At 44.4% G+C, this 15,425-nt stretch overlaps 1 protein-coding gene across 16 annotated transcripts in view, besides 1 other annotated feature; it reads left to right on the top strand.

The window, feature by feature from the left end:
- RFX8 (regulatory factor X8) overlaps positions 1–15,425 on the top strand; it is a 77,754-nt gene that overhangs the window by 41,892 nt on the left and 20,437 nt on the right. For 6 of the 16 annotated variants that reach the window (XM_011511771.3, XM_047445739.1, XM_017004851.2 and 3 more), the window contains 4 exons: positions 4,202–4,265; positions 10,749–10,859; positions 11,444–11,497; positions 14,257–14,370. In XM_011511771.3, coding sequence (XP_011510073.1) covers positions 4,202–4,265; positions 10,749–10,859; positions 11,444–11,497; positions 14,257–14,370 — 343 coding nt within the window. Of the gene's footprint in view, positions 1–4,201; positions 4,266–10,748; positions 10,860–11,443; positions 11,522–12,910; positions 13,809–14,256; positions 14,371–15,425 lie in introns of those variants that run through there. The other 10 variants (NM_001145664.2, XM_017004852.2, XM_011511773.2 and 7 more) reach the window with 7 other exon arrangements.
- Positions 13,987–14,056: a silencer, noted in NCBI's record as "silent region_11826". NCBI's record gives its function as "represses an Ori minimal core promoter by ATAC-STARR-seq in GM12878 lymphoblastoid cells {active_cell/tissue: GM12878}" and the evidence as "EXISTENCE:reporter gene assay evidence [ECO:0000049][PMID:35858748]".

Here is a 15,425-nt window from a genome sequence, read left to right as displayed (position 1 = left end):
ATCCCAATCCTTCCCTTTACAGGGTGCAAAATTGAGGCCCTGTCGCTTCATGTGACTTGCTTAAAGCAATATAGCCAGCTAGCTGCAGAGCTGAACAAGGAGGCCGGTTCCACTGTGCTGCGGGAATTCTCAGCCCTCCTCCCTCCCCGGTCTTCCCCATCTGGGCTCTTCTCCCTCCATCCCCAGCTGACCCCGCCCTTCCCTCCAGTGGTTATTAAATCCTAACATCCTAGGTAAGGGTTGGCTTGGGCCCTGAGGAGCAGTCACTAAAGGGGGCAGCTCCCAAGGAATGCAAATGACCTGAGGACGGACTCGCCTGGGAGTCACTCCTGTGTCATGATCTGCCTTGTGCTCTGTTGTTTTTCTCTAACTCGGTGATTTGGCATTGCTAAAGCATCACAGGCCTCGGAGAGCAAGTGGAGAAGACGCCTTTTGGACTGGAAGCCCTTCCTTCACAACAAGGCCAGCTCTGGATGTTGTGTGTGGTTTCCTTGGCGCTGTATTTTAGCAATGACTGTGCTTTTGATCACAGCCTGATAAATGTCCCAAAGGCCTGACTCAGAGCCACACTCTGGAAATGACGCAGGGGGCAGTGAGCCCAAAGACACAAAGCTGTCCCGGTGGGCACTCAGGGCTTCTGTCTGAAACGGCCACCTCCAGGCCTGCTCCGGCCTCACGCTCCCTGCACCTGCTCTTGGGTAGTGGCCCCATATTGGGAACTGCACCCTGGTGGAGCGCTGGTCTACCACAACCTTCCTCTCTAGCCTAGTCCAGCCTTGCCTGCCAGACGAAAGCCCGGCAATGCCTGCGGTGTTCACTCCTCTGAATCTGCCAGACACTCAGGGTGCTGGTGACCTGAACGTGGACCCTCATGAATCCCCACTTGCTGGTCTCCAGCAACTCTGCTCACCTGCCTTGTAGCCCAACTATGTTATTGCCTCCTAATCCCCTGTCACCTGAATATTTTTGTGGTTCTTTGTTTGCAGAGGCCTCAGAAACTAGGTGATTTTAGAAAATAAATATGGTCTCATTAAACCTACATGTTGACCCGTGTTGTAAGCCAGTCTCTTAAATTAGGGCATTCCAGAGGTGGAAAGAGACAGCCTTGCCATTCGTTTGAACAAATGCATGTCTTTGTCCGGCCAGGTAGAGATGGGGACTTTTTCATAGATGACCCCATCTCTCCATAAGGTTGAAATATTTTCTCTTTCTCCCCATTAGGTTAATACATAAAGTCTCCCAATTAAATGCTAAAAGGTAACATAGCTCTCCCAGTGAGGATTCCTGCTATACACAGGCCCCTACATGGCAGGCACGTCCCTTCAGGCTTCCCTATAAAGATGAGGAGGGTGATGGCAGGCACGTCCCTTCAGGCTTCCCTATAAAGATGAGGAGGGTGATGCCACCTTCTTTTCGATTGCTGCTGAATTAAGCCCATATTCTGCATTGAACAGAGGCAGAAACTTGGGAGTACCATTTAGGAACTCAAAATAATTGAGAACATTACTCAGTCGTAATGAGCATTACTCATTAGTCCAAAGCTCCCAGAGTCAGGGTGGAGGGAGAGGGATGAGTGATAAAGTTGAGAGTTTTCCTTGTCGTTCCTTTAAGTCTGAAACCAGACATTCTAGCTTTGAAATATCTGTTTCTGAGTACCTATAGGAATGCCCCATGAGGATCAATGTCACCATTCAAAATTGTTTAATAAGCTATCCTTATATGGTGATGTGATGAACACCAACCAGATCAGGGTAAACTGATCACCAATGCAGCTCTCCTGAGCTCATCAAGCTGCCAATTGACAGAGATGTGCACTGTTGGACTAACAAGAGAATAGGATGGCCCCCTGATGTACGTTTTCCTAGCACCCGACACTTCAGCTGTCATAACCCTCACCCAACATCTTTGTGATTAGTGATGATTTGTGTGACATTTTTCCTCCCCAATAGGCTATAACCTCTGTGAAAACAGACCTTGTCTCCCTGGATCACAGCTATATCCACCAAGGCCTGGCACAATGCCTGACATTCAGTAGGCACTGATGAATGAATGAGAGATGGATTGATGATGGTTGGATGGATGGATGGTTGGTTGGATGGATGGATGGATGAATGAATGGATGGATGGAGCTCAGTGTATTCATATTGTGGTCTTGCATTCATTTTCCAAAGAAAACATATTAGGAGTAGCATGCTGACACAATGTGGAATTGGGGAGAAATTGCCCTTCCTCCAATTTAGTTGAAGAAAGTCTCACAACTAATTTTTAGACATCTCTAAAGAGTGATGACCATATTTTGCTGATTAAATTTCTTTTCTGTGAGCCCTTTATTTAGTGAAATTTCACTTCTGATATTTTCTTCTGTCTTATTTCATTCTAGTCTTTATTCTAAGTTTGATTTATTATTTGTTGTTTTTGTTGCTGTAATGTCCCAAAATCTGTGGCAATGGGCTGTTTATAAATTTTACCTGAAGAAACTGCATAATTGTCACACCTACCCAAGATATCATTGAGATATGATGCATTCTCATGGGCTGTCATAACAAAATACCACCGACTGGGTGGCTTAAGCAACAGAAATTTATTTTCTCACAGTTCTGGAAGCTGGAAGTCCAAGATCAAGGTACCCCAAAATTTGGTTTCTGGTGAGGGCTGTCTTCCTGGCTTGCAGTCAGCCGCCTTCTCGCTGTGTCTTCACATGTTCTTTTCTTTGTTCACATGGAGAGAGAGAGAAAGAGAGCAAGTTCTCTGGTCTTCTTATAAGGACACCAGTCCTGGATTGGATTAAGGCCCTATTCTTATGATCTCATTTAACCTTAATTATCTCCTTAAGGATCTTATTTACAAATACTGTCACATAGAGGGCTAGGGCTTCAATGTAGGAATTTGAGGAGAAGGCAACTCAGTCCATAACACATGACAAATGGAATTCCTAAGACACTCCAAATTATTTGCCTTTGGCTCCTCTAGCATTGCCCATCACCCTATGTGCATGTGCAGGGCTTATCCATATACCCTTTCAGGTTGAACAGATGCTGTGTCCTGCAGCCACTGGAAAGTCTGAGGTAAAATTTCTATTTTGATAACAACTCTTATTAAAAGATGAAGAGTGCCTTTCTAGTGGGTTCGTGTCCAGACCCTGAATCTATGTGCCCTGTTTTGAAATATAACATTATGTGGAAACATTTATCAGATGGGTATCAAGCATTCTGCCCAGTTTTCTATGACTTGGTTTGGAGAATGGACTGACCCAAACCTTCAGAAGAGAGCCCCTGGGGCTTTCAAGAGGCTGGGGAGGACGTAGAACCATCCTATTTGGAAGGAAAGCCATTTTCCTCTACCTCCCCTCTGACTCCCACCTCCTCCCAGGTCCTCCTTACCTGGATGACAATTGCCCGGCTTCCAGAAGCACAGCAAGAGGCTGCTGGCTTCCTCTTCTCTTTTTTATGTTCAGGTAGAGCTGAAACCATCAGGCATGAGGATGTGTGCTGACTTGGAGTGGACGGACCCATCAAAGTCATGTCTGCCCTTGGCTCAGCCATAACTCTGGAGCTGAGTGACGGGGACGTGGGAGGAGACACCACCACCTCTGGCATCTTGAGAATGGACATTCCCTGGTGCAAGTGAACTGGGCTCACAGCTTCTCGAATGCCCATGATTAAAGAAAAAATGCACCGTACTGCATAGATAGGACCCAGTCTGTTCTCCATTATGTATAAATTTCTCCATTATCTTATATGAATCCAAGAGGCATGGTGAAATGAAATTTACATCTCTATTATTAATTACCAGTTTCTTTGCTCTGTAAAGGTGTTCTTCTACATCCATCAATTTAGAGGATATTATCATTTCTGTATCAATCATTTAAAATGCACCAAAATAAAAAAGTAATAAGAATTCACGTTCATGATGATTTTTCTTTTCCCACAGGAGCGAATTCTACCCATGACGATATCATATTCTTGCTTCTGAAGGAAAGAAACCTTTAAAAATAAATGCGTGGTTGTCCCAGTTACAGAAATGAATTTTTTAAAGCCCAAGCTTGTGATAATTACCATTCGTGGATAGAAACATGGCAGAGGGTTTTTCAATAAAAGTTATACCCCTAAACAAATAACCTTGCTGCAAAAGAAACTTCGTGCTTCTGCTCAGAGACAGGTGTCTTGCTAAAATTACTTCTCTGTTTTCTGTTCCTTCACAGTGGAGATGCCATTGCCTTTGAAAAATCTACTAATTATAACAGCATTATCCAACAAGAAGCAACAGTGAGTGTTAATCAAACAGATTTACTATAACAGACCCAGACCTAGCAATACCAGTGATTGCTTAATTCGATCCAGCTGTTTTTCTGTGCGTACTCTTCTGACTCTAGGTAGCCCCTAACCATTCACCCATCTGACCATGAATGTTCAGTGCCACCACTTTCCACATGCCGTGCCAAGACAGACATAGTCTCTGTCCTTAAGGAACGTACTGTTTGGCTGCACATTCCCTGCTTAACTGTGTTTCTTCAGCTAAAATTAAAAAGGATATATAGGCTGTTGGCAATAAATGTGTCTGAAGTGTCTCCCTATTACAGTTACAGCTCTTTGAATTAGGACACCAGAACTATGAATAACTAATGTATGACATCATGAGTTGATTTTATTTTAGTGGGCCAAAACGATATGATAGTACTTGGATACTGTCTTAGTGCGAGCTGCAAATTACCATTGACAGGATGGCTTCAACAACAAACATTTATTTCTCACAGTTCCAGAGGCTGGAAGTCCCAGGTGCCAGCGTGGCCAGGTTACCGGAGGGCCCTCTTTCAGGTTGCAGACGACTCCTCATCGTGTCTCACGTGGTGGAAAGAGAGGGAGCAAGCACTAATCTCATTCATGAGAGCTCCACTTTCGTGACCTAATTACTCCCAGAGGCCCCACCTCCAAATACCATCACATGGGATTAGAGGTTTTTTGTTGTTGTTGTTTTGAGATGGAATCTCGTTTTGTTGCCCAGGCTGGTTCAAGCGATTCTCCTGCCTCAGCCTCCCAAGTAGTTGGGATTACAGGTGCCTGCAACCACGCCGGCTAATTTTTGTATTTTTCGTAGAGACAGGGTTTCATCAAGTTGGCCAGGCTGGTCTCGAACTCCTGACCCCAAGAGATCTGCCCCCCTTGGCCTCCCAAAATGCTGGGATTACAGGAGTGAGCCACCACGCTCAGCCGGGATTAGGGTTTTAACACATGACCCTGCGGGGGGCGGGGGGGATAACAACATTCTGTCCGTAACAGATACTGTCTTGTTGACAAGTGTCATTGAACAGATAACCTTTTATAAACGTGTTTAGTGACCAGCCTTCTTGAGGGCTGAATGGGTTGTGAAAGAACCGCTAAAAACAAACAAAGTCCCTCTACTTAAGTAGGACACAGTTTTGTAGTCGGGAAGCTAAGATAGACGTGGAACAATGGGTACCATGTCGAGCGGGCAGTGCAGGCCATGGGTGGTTTGGGAACTCCAAATTGGGGGTCCGGGAGAGGGGCTGTGGGAGGCAAGAGTGATTAGAGAGGGCTGCACTGAAGAGTGCGGTTCCCACTGTTGTTGTGACAAATTAGCACAAAGTCAGTGACTTAAAACAACACAAATCTGTTATCACACGCCCTGGAAGTCATAATTTCAACACCATTCTTACCAGACTAAGATCAACATGTTCGCAGAGCCGTGTTCCTCCCGGACATTCTAGGGAAGAATCCATTCCTTCCCTTTTCCAGCTTCTAGAGGTCCCTCCCATTCCTTGGCTCACGGCCTCCACCCCATCTTCAAAGCCAGCAAAGGCAGGCCGGATCCTTCTCACGCTGCAGTCTCTCTGGCTCCCTGCAGCTGGGAAAGGTGGCCTTTTCTAAAGCACCTTTGTGATGACATGAGGCCACTTGGATAAGGCAGGAAAACCTCCCATCTCAAGGTCTTTAATCTTAATCACATCTGCAAGGTCCCTTTGCCATGCAAGGGAACATATTCATAGGTTCCAGGGATTAGGACGTGGACATTTTTGGGGTGGAGGGGCCTGATTCTGCCTGTCATATTATCCTTGAGCTAGTCCTGGAAGGGGTCACTGGCTTCTCTCTTAGGAGGGTGTTCATTTTGAGGGTGTAGCCTGCATTGGAGCCGGGAGGTGATGACAAACGTGTGTGGAACCCAGCGTGCATATGCTGGGGAGCAGCACACTGGGCGAGGTGGGTGGAGAGGACCAGAGGGCACAGAGCTTGTCGATGCTAGGCAGAGAACTTGGATTTGACCCAGGAGACCGTGGGGCACCATCAAGGCATCTTCAGAAGGAGAGTGACAGGATACATTTGCTTTGGGGGGTGATAATTCTGGGAACAGTGTCTTCAAGGATTCAGGAAGGATCAAAGTCATTCAGGAGAATTGATGGAGTAACCCAGGGGAGGCAGATGGTGCCTGATGGAGCAGGTGATGGTGGAAAGGTGGCACACATCAGACTCCCAGGGGCTGACACCTAGTGCATGCTCACTAAAGAATGAGTAGATGAATGGTAGCATGTAACTCCAGTGACATTTCTTGGGTCTGTCAAAATCTCAAACTGCATTTAATATACCTAAAGAATCCACGTAGAATTTCTCAATGGTCATTTTTTAGATATAGCTTTTGTTTATACATATTTGTCATTATGCAGTATTTATTTATTTATTTTATTTTTTAGAGACGAGGTCTTGCTCTTTTGCCCAGGCTGGAGAGCAGTGGCACGATCACAGCTCACTGGAGTCTCCAACTTCTAGGCTCAAGCCAACTTCTCACCTCAGCCTCCTGAGTATTTAGGACTACAGGCGTATGTCACCATGCCCAGAAATGTTTTTTGTGTTTTTGTTTTTTTTTAATTTTTTGTAGAGACAGGCTCTTACTATGTTGCCCATGCTGGTCATGAACTCCTGGCCCGAGGCAATCGTCCTGCCTCAGCCTCCAAAAGTTCTGGGATTACAAGCATGAGCCACCACACTCAACACAGTTATTATTTAAAAGTTGGTGGATTTTTAAAGACTGATATATAATAGATGTATATATTTTCTGGATATGCGTGATATTTTGACACATTTCTATACTGTGTAAAGATCAAATCAGTATAATTGGGATACTTATTGCCTTAAACAGGTATCTTTTCTTTTTCTGGAGGCAGCCAAATGATTCTTATCTGGGTATTTGAAAATATCAACTAGATTTTTGTGAACTATAGTCACTCTACTAGATTGATCAAAGCCTAGGTCTCATTTCTTCTGTCTGTTTGTACCCATTGATCAACTTCTCTCCATCCTCTTCTTTGCTTTGCTGAATTATTGTTTCCACACTGGAATTCCTCAGCATGCTTCCTGAATGCCTTCTGCTGTAGCGAATCTCCTGCAGGGTCCACACGTTAGTGGCTCTGTACGCTACTTTTACTTTAGGTTTCTGATTGTTTATGTTGTAAAGGAAATATTTCCATTTATGATTTTAAAAATATTGTTTGTGAAAGAACAATTCTTTTCACAGTTTTTAATGAAAGGTTTATGCCTATAAGTAATGTCTATGGAGGAAGAGACCTCAGGGATTGACTTCAGGAAATCATGAATTTGCTCTTTATTATGTTGTGTAATAAAACACTTTTATATTCTCCTTGTAATTGTTTCTTGAATATCTTAACAGTACATTGTCAGATGTTTTCTTCTGAACAGGCGAAACTGTGTTGTATGTGCCATGGTGAAATGTAGACATTTCTGTAGCATTCGATAAAGAACTGTCTGCCTAAAGCTGCAGTTCTCAACATGGGCATGCAGAAGGCTCAGTAGGGAAGCTGGTTATACATCTAGAGTTCTTGTCTCATCAGATTCACTAGAGGCCTAGGAACATGGATCTCAAGGGCCCCAAGGGATTCTGATGTGTTTGAGAATGCTGCTTTGGGAATATCAGCAGTAACACCCAGAGAACATTGACATAACCAGGGTGTGAGTGCTCTGGAAAATATGGATGTAGTTGGGGTCTTTCATTATGAGACATTAGCCCAGAGCTGAAATTGAGGATTCCTCAGTTCTCTAACAGAGCGCCTATGATCAGGCCAATGAGCTTCATGGAATAGCTCCATCCTTTAGTATGATCAACGTGAGCATCACCCATACCCACATACAAGAAAACCCATCTTCTTTTTTTTTTCTGTTTCAAATTATTATTTTTTAAATTATACTTTAAGTTATAGGGTACATGTGCACAACGTGCAGGTTTGTTACATAGGTATACATGTGCCATGTTGGTTTGCTGCACCCATCAACTCGTCATTTACATTAGGTATTTCTCCTAATGCTATCCCTCCCCCAGGCCCCGACCCCCTGACGGGCCCTGGTGTGTGATGTTCCCCGCCCTGTGTCCAAGTGTTCTCATTGTTCAATTCTCACCTATGAGTGAGAACATGCAGTGTTTGGTTTTCTGTCCTTGCGATAGTTTGCTCAGAATGATGGTTCCCAGCTTCATCCATGTCACTATAAAGGACATTAACTCATCCTTTTTATGGCTGCATAGTATTCCGTGGTGTATATGTGCCACATTTTCTTTACCCAGTCTGTCATTGATGGACATTTAGGTTGGTTCCAAGTCTTTGCTATTGTGAATAGTGCCGCAATAAACATACGTGTGCATGTGTCTTTATAGCAGCATGATTTATAGTCCTTTGGGTATATACCCAGTAATGGGATCACTGGGTCAAATGGTATTTCTAGTTCTAGATCCTTGAGGAATCGCCACATTGTCTTCCACAATGGTTGAACTAGTTTACACTCCACCAACAGTGTAAAAGCATTCCTATTTCTCCACATCCTCTCCAGCACCTGTTGTTTCCTGACTTTTTAATGATCACCATTCTAACTGGTGTGAGATGATATCTCATTGTGGTTGTCATTTGCATTTCTTTGATGACCAGTGATGATGAGCATTTTTTCATGTGTCTGTTGGCTGCATAAATGTCAAGAAGACCCATCTTCTGATGACTCTGAATAAAGCCAATATTGTAAAGTGTGGTGTGAATGAGGTTTAGACAGCACCCAATAGAGAGACCCCTTTGAGCTGTCCCCTCTGTGTTCCTGCTTTATGTATTTATTTAGACATCTATACCCCTACATCATTCCAACAGTATTAACGGGGGAAGTTTTAACGTGGCATCTTCATAATATTGTGTGCGTAGTATGCATTTTCTCCAGGGAGAGAGTCAGTTGCTTTCATCAGATTCTCAAAGAGGTTCAGAATCACAACAGAGTTATGAAGTATAGATTTTAGGGCACTGAGAGGACAGTTAAACATGCTCTCTAAACTTCTGTGATCCTCAATGCAGTACTGGTTGATACTGGGGCATCGGAGAGGAGGAAAACACAGTGGTGCCTGTTTCCGGTGTGTGCAGCACTGTGTGGGATGGTGTCTGAGCTCACTCCTCTGCTAAAGGGTGGGCACAGGTGGTTAGAGAAGCTGCCCTGCCCTCAGATGTCTTATAGACAGGAACATACCAAAACCCACATAAGCAATTCTATAAGTGAGTAGCTTAGTGAGGCTTAGGGTGCTTAAAGACTGGGCAGGCTAAGGATGGAATGCTGACCTTGGAACTATAGGGTCAGAGAGCGGGTCATGAGGTTTGAGAGAAAATGAAAAGTCACAGTCTGGCGTAGCAGGGTTGGCTGCTCAATTTTCAACTTGGAGGAATTCTTTCATCCTACTTTATTGTAAGGGAAATTATTCAAAAGCAGTCTATGACAATGCTGAAGAAATCATTTCAAATAAAATTGATACCCTTTATTCAGACCAGGAGGAGCCCTCATGCCTCCCCATGCCCAGAGGGGACAGCAGCATGAGTGACACAGGGAGGCAGGGAGGAATGTCGCACTTGCTTTCTGCCATGCCACCTTTCTTCCTCCTTCCCATCCTGTAATTGCTTCTTTTTTTTTTTTTTTTTGAGATGGAGTTTTGCTCTTTGTCGCCAAGGCTAGAGTGCAGTGGCGTGATCTTGGCTCACTGCAACCTCCATTTCCCGGGCTCAAGCAATTCTCCCACTTTAGCCTCCCAAATAGCTGGGATTACAGGTGTCTGCCACCACACCCGGCTAATTTTTGTATTTTTAGTAGAGACAGGGTTTCACCATGTTGGCTAGGCTGGTCTTGAACTACTGACTTCAAGTGATCCACCCGCCTCGCCCTCCCAAAGTGCTGGGATTATAGGCATGAGCCACCATGCCCGGGCCTGTAATTGGTTCTTCTAAAGGAAAGTCCATGCTCCTCATTTTCCTTGTTGGCAATGGCCCTGAGATTTCTGATACAACCAACGGTTGTTATGATATAGGCAGAATGACCCAAACAGGGATGATTTTATTTCAAGGAGGAACAATTACATGGACAAGGGTTGTAGAAGTGTATTTGTGATATTAAATAATTCATAGATAATAGTCTTATTGTACATTCCTATAGAGGATTTGTAAATAGATGATCCCAAGAGAGATACATTTGGTAATATATTAAATCCTATCCCTTCCCTGATGGCCATCGTTCATAGAATTACAGACAAAAATTAGCAGCATTTGGAATACAATATGAGAGGAAAGCTGCTGGAATCAGTAATGTGTGCAGAGGTGTGGCTAAAAGGTTATACACAATATTAACTTATAGTAGTGTGATCATAAGAAGATTTATATGCCAAAAAAAGTATTGTATTTTAAAGACATAATCCATTGCACAAATGATTTTTAGTGTGAAGATCATTCACCGATGAAGACAGACCCAGTTGGATCCCCTTTGTCTGAATTCAGGAGATGTCCATTTCTGGAGCAAGAACAGGCAAAGAAATACTCCTGTAATATGGTAGGTTTGCACTCATGGGGAGATTAGCCTTTCACGCTGTATGATGCTTAGGGCAGTAAATAGCTTCCTTTTGTGCCTGTGGTCATGATTGTGTCACATGGAATAATGTTTGCCTTTGCTGGACCCGTGAGGACCAGCAACCTTCCCTGGCTTGATGGTGCTCAGCAAGTTCAGGGTTCCCTATCACATCCTATGGCAAGGCTCCCGCTGGGACTGCCTCTTCCCCAAGACAAAGAAAGAAACAGATATATGGATTTTCTAGAAATTAGGGCTGGGGATTATGGAGGGGGAAAATTGAAGTTTAGAAAAAAAGGTGTCAAAGTTTGGTGGCCTTTGTAGTGGTAGAATAAATCTGCAAATATGAGTTATGACATTGAAATGAAAGCTACATGAACTATCAGCCTACAAGGTCTGCATTAGTTCATAGAAACAAAAAAAATGCTGTGGCCCAAGTGAAGAGCGCAGCTATTGTCATTTGAGAATTGCAACAAGAGCGGCCTCTGAGAGCTTCAGAAAAGTCTGTGAAGATCAGTTCATTATTGAAAAGGCCCACATGCTGAAATAATTTTCCATATTCTTCCTAGATGGCCTTCCTTGCTGACGAATACTGCAACTATTGTCGAGACATTTTACGAAATGTGAGGAACTGAGAACTTGAGAGGGTAGGGTTTTATCTATAAAATACAAGCATTTATGACTCCTTATTAATCATTTTTATTTGAAGAGACCCCGTCAACAGATGTCCAATGGTAACCCACTGCACTGAAGTGCTTACATGCTATGTACCTATGTTGTAGTCATTGAGTTCTGGAAGGTGAGATCGATATTCAGTGTAATCAGTTGGAAATTCTCCAAGGTGCTAATACAGATAACTTTAGGCTCTAAATACAAATTCAGCTATTTTTTAGATCCTAATTCTGCTCATTTTGAATAAAGTGTTGGTAATAAAATTCACCCTGGAATTTTCAATGGTGCCGAAGAGCCATTTGATTGATACGCGCTAACTGAAGATGGAGCAGGACTTCGCAGCTGAGTGATCTGGCATGGGTATTGTCACGATTGGATTTAATCCTAGAATTGGCTGTGGAAAACATGAATAAATCTTTCAGCTATTCTGAGTTTCATCTTCTGCAGTGTGAGATGAAAATCCAAGGAAACAAGTGCACATTCAAATGAGATTTTTTTCCTGATGCTTTAGTATATTCTAAGCACTTCAACTTTGGGTGATAACGCTCATTCAGCACGAGCGCATTTACTACCTACTCGGCGTAAAGCATTGTAGTGAGGGAGAGACCAAGATGTCTTCAGGATGGCCCCTGTCCTATTGATGCAATGTTACAAATATCCATCCACACTGGATGTCTGACATTATTCCTTTCCTTCTTCACTTATTCATCAAATACATATTTAATTCCTACCCTGTGACCGACACCGTTACCAGGACTAGGAAAGTATTCTCCATAAGGCTTGAGAAGTTAGTAGTTGGTAATGAAAGGAGCAATATTACCCAATAAATATGATGCAATGTGGAAAGTTCTAGAATAGCTGCATGATTAGACTATTCTGGGTGCCCAGAGAAGGGTAACAGAGAAGGCCAGGGAGTGCTTCCAAAGCAGGCCACGTTGCTGCTGACTCTAGTAGGAAAGGCAGAGGTGCAATAGACAGAAAATGGGGTAGGAGAGGGATTCCAGGTAGGACCCATGGTGCAGGTAAAGGCAGCATGATGTTCACGGGCATGATGTGACAAAAAGGTCACTATGACTATATTTTATTATTTCTTTTTTTCTTTTCTTTTGTTTTCTTTTTTGTGTGTGTGTGTGAGACGCAGTCTTGCTCTGTCACCGAGGCTGGAGTTCAGTGGTGCGATCTCGGCTCACTGTACCTCCACCTCCTGAGTTCAAGCGATTCTCCTGCCTCAGCCTACCGAGTAGCTGGGATCACAGGCGCCCACCACCATGCCCGGCTAATTTTTTGTATTTTTAGTAGAGACGGGGTTTTTACCATGCTGGCCAGGCTGTTCTCAAACTCCTGACCTCAGGTGATCTGCCCACCTCGGCCTCCCAAAGTGCTGGGATTACAGCCGTGAACCACCGCGCCCAGCCTAGATTTTATTATTACTAAAGAAGAGAAGCCAGAGGGGAGGTGGGAAAGTAGGCTGATGCCAGAAGGGGCCTCGGATGCCCCAGAAGAACTCTGACTTGTTGAGAAGACAGTGGGGGAGCAGTGACAATAGGGCTTGGCCGTCGTGGAACAGAGAGGCAGCGAGGAGGTTTTGTCACAGTTGAGGTGAGAAGCGACAAGGGTGGGTTCTGGGGCAGTGACAGTGATATCAGAGATAAACAGGGCAGGTTAGAGAAATATTTCAGAGGCAAGCGCAACAGGGTTTGGTGACTTGGACGCGGGTGGTGAGGGGTGAGCAGAGACGGGTCTGTGGTGGTGGCTCCACCCAGACCCCCCTTCCCCAAAGCTCCTTGCTCCGAGGTTCCCAGCCTGAGAGAAAAGGGATTGCTACACCCTGTGTTGTATTTTTCAGAGTCTCTTTGGAGAAGTCCTCTCTAGAATGAATGCCCTGATAACGGGATTTTAAATCAGCGCCTGTGGCCATGTAATTCGGGAGTTGACCCTAACTTCCATGATGACCTAGGCATGGGGCCAGCGCCTTGTCTGGTGTCACTGGCAGGTCCTAGCACCAGGACCAGGGGAGATACGACAAGGTTGTGATGCCTCACAGTATCTGAGCCTGTGGAAATCCCAAACAGGCAAGAGTCTTTATTGGCGGCGAAGCAGATCGGTCACCTGGTTAAAGAACGGAAACTGAAAAGTCAACGTGGGAAAAAACAGAAAAGAGGAGCCGCCATTTTGATCCTCCACGAAGTAGTCCACATAAGTCTTTAGAGAAGGCTCCTGTGTAGAACCACGCCAGTCTCCTTTTCCTTCCACAGTCGTTAGGTGACTTCTAACTTGATGGCAAGGAGGGGGTCTCTTAGATTAAGTACTATCACACCTTTCTCTGAGCTGAAAAATGATTGAGGCAGTCAGTCAGTCAGTCAATGAACATTTATTCTCTCTGGGCTGTGCCCTGTGGCCCAGTCCTCATCCTAGTATAATCAACTGGAGCCCCCTTGTGGTCAGAAACAGCTTCCCTTCTAGAAACTGCCTCAAGAAAATATTAATAATGTTCTACATTATCCCATCCAACTGGCAGGTGCTCTCAGATGGGTTGTTGGAAAGAATTCTATCAAAATACAGCTTGGAAAAGCTGAGAGGCAAAGCTTTACACGCACTGGAACAAAATTCATCCCATTGTCATCTGGGGCTAAGGAAGTATCTGTGGCGGGGGGTTAGTCTTGCGAGGTGGAAAACGAGTTTTGGCGATATGCTCTGTTACTTACCCCAGGTGGAGGACTTGCTTACTTCCTTCTGGAAGTCTCTGCAGCAAGACACAGTCATGCTGATGTCATTGCCTGACGTGTGCCAGCTCTTTAAATGCTACGACGTCCAGCTGTACAAGGTAGGAGGACGCGTGAGTCTCTAGAGTATATCCTTTGCAGAAATTGGCAGCAAATGCTGGGTTTGGACCCACAGCTCCACCTCTCTGCAGTCTCCATGGTCCTCTGAGGAGTGAATAGTGGGGTGTATGGACCAGGAGCCCTCTGATCTCTGCCTAACACTCAGTTTTCCTTTGTGAATTACCTCATGGAAACCAAAAGCCAATGCACATAGTAACCTCTGGTTCCATATCAGTGAAGTCCGAATTGAGTCGAAGTTCTTTCTCTGGGAATTTCTGTAAAAGAAGACATTCTAAAATGAATAATTGGAATTGTAATATGCATAACTGCCAGGGCTTTTGTTTTGTTTTGTTTTGCTTTGCTTTGGTTGAAGCTCTATCTCTAAAGTGATTGTATTTGGAGGGTTGTATTTGGAGGGTCAGGTTTATATCTTCTCTGGATTAAAAAGGTGTTCTCCTTCAGCGTGTCACAAGCCTTACCTTTTATTTTATTATTTTTAAGGAAACCATCTAGTACTTCCAAGTTTTTAACACAAAGTTTGAAAACTAGAAGCTGGGTTCAGCCCTTAAATATATTTGGTTTGACCCACCTAATATTGGCCAGCATTGTGTGATTTTTTAAAAAAATACTTGAATCAGTTATCAATCTTTTAAAAATATTTGAGGCCGGGAGCAGTGGCTCATGCTTGTAATCCCAGCACTTTGGGAGGCTGAGGCGGGTGGATCACGAGGTCAGGAGTTCGAGACCAGCCTGGCCAAGATGGTTAAACCCCGTCTCTACTAAAAATACAAAAAAATGAGCCAGGTGTGGTGGCATGCACCTGTAATCCCAGCTACTTGGGAGGCTGAGGTAGGGAATCGCTTGAACCCGGGAGGCGGAGGTTGCAGTGAGCCGAGATCATGCCACTGCACTCCAGCCTGGGTGACAGAACAAGACTCCGTCTCAAATAAATAAACAAAAATATTGGAAAAAAATTCCAACTGTGGCTGCACCAGCCTGACATCCTGCATGGGAAGCAGTGGCCACGTTGCATGGTGCTGCCCCTTCAACCTGGGTG

Source organism: Homo sapiens, chromosome 2, assembly GCF_000001405.40.
Source record: "Homo sapiens chromosome 2, GRCh38.p14 Primary Assembly".
NCBI classification, from domain to species: domain Eukaryota; kingdom Metazoa; phylum Chordata; class Mammalia; order Primates; family Hominidae; genus Homo; species Homo sapiens.
The sequence above is the reverse complement of the archived record's forward strand: the minus strand, read 5'-3'. Positions and strand labels throughout refer to the sequence as shown.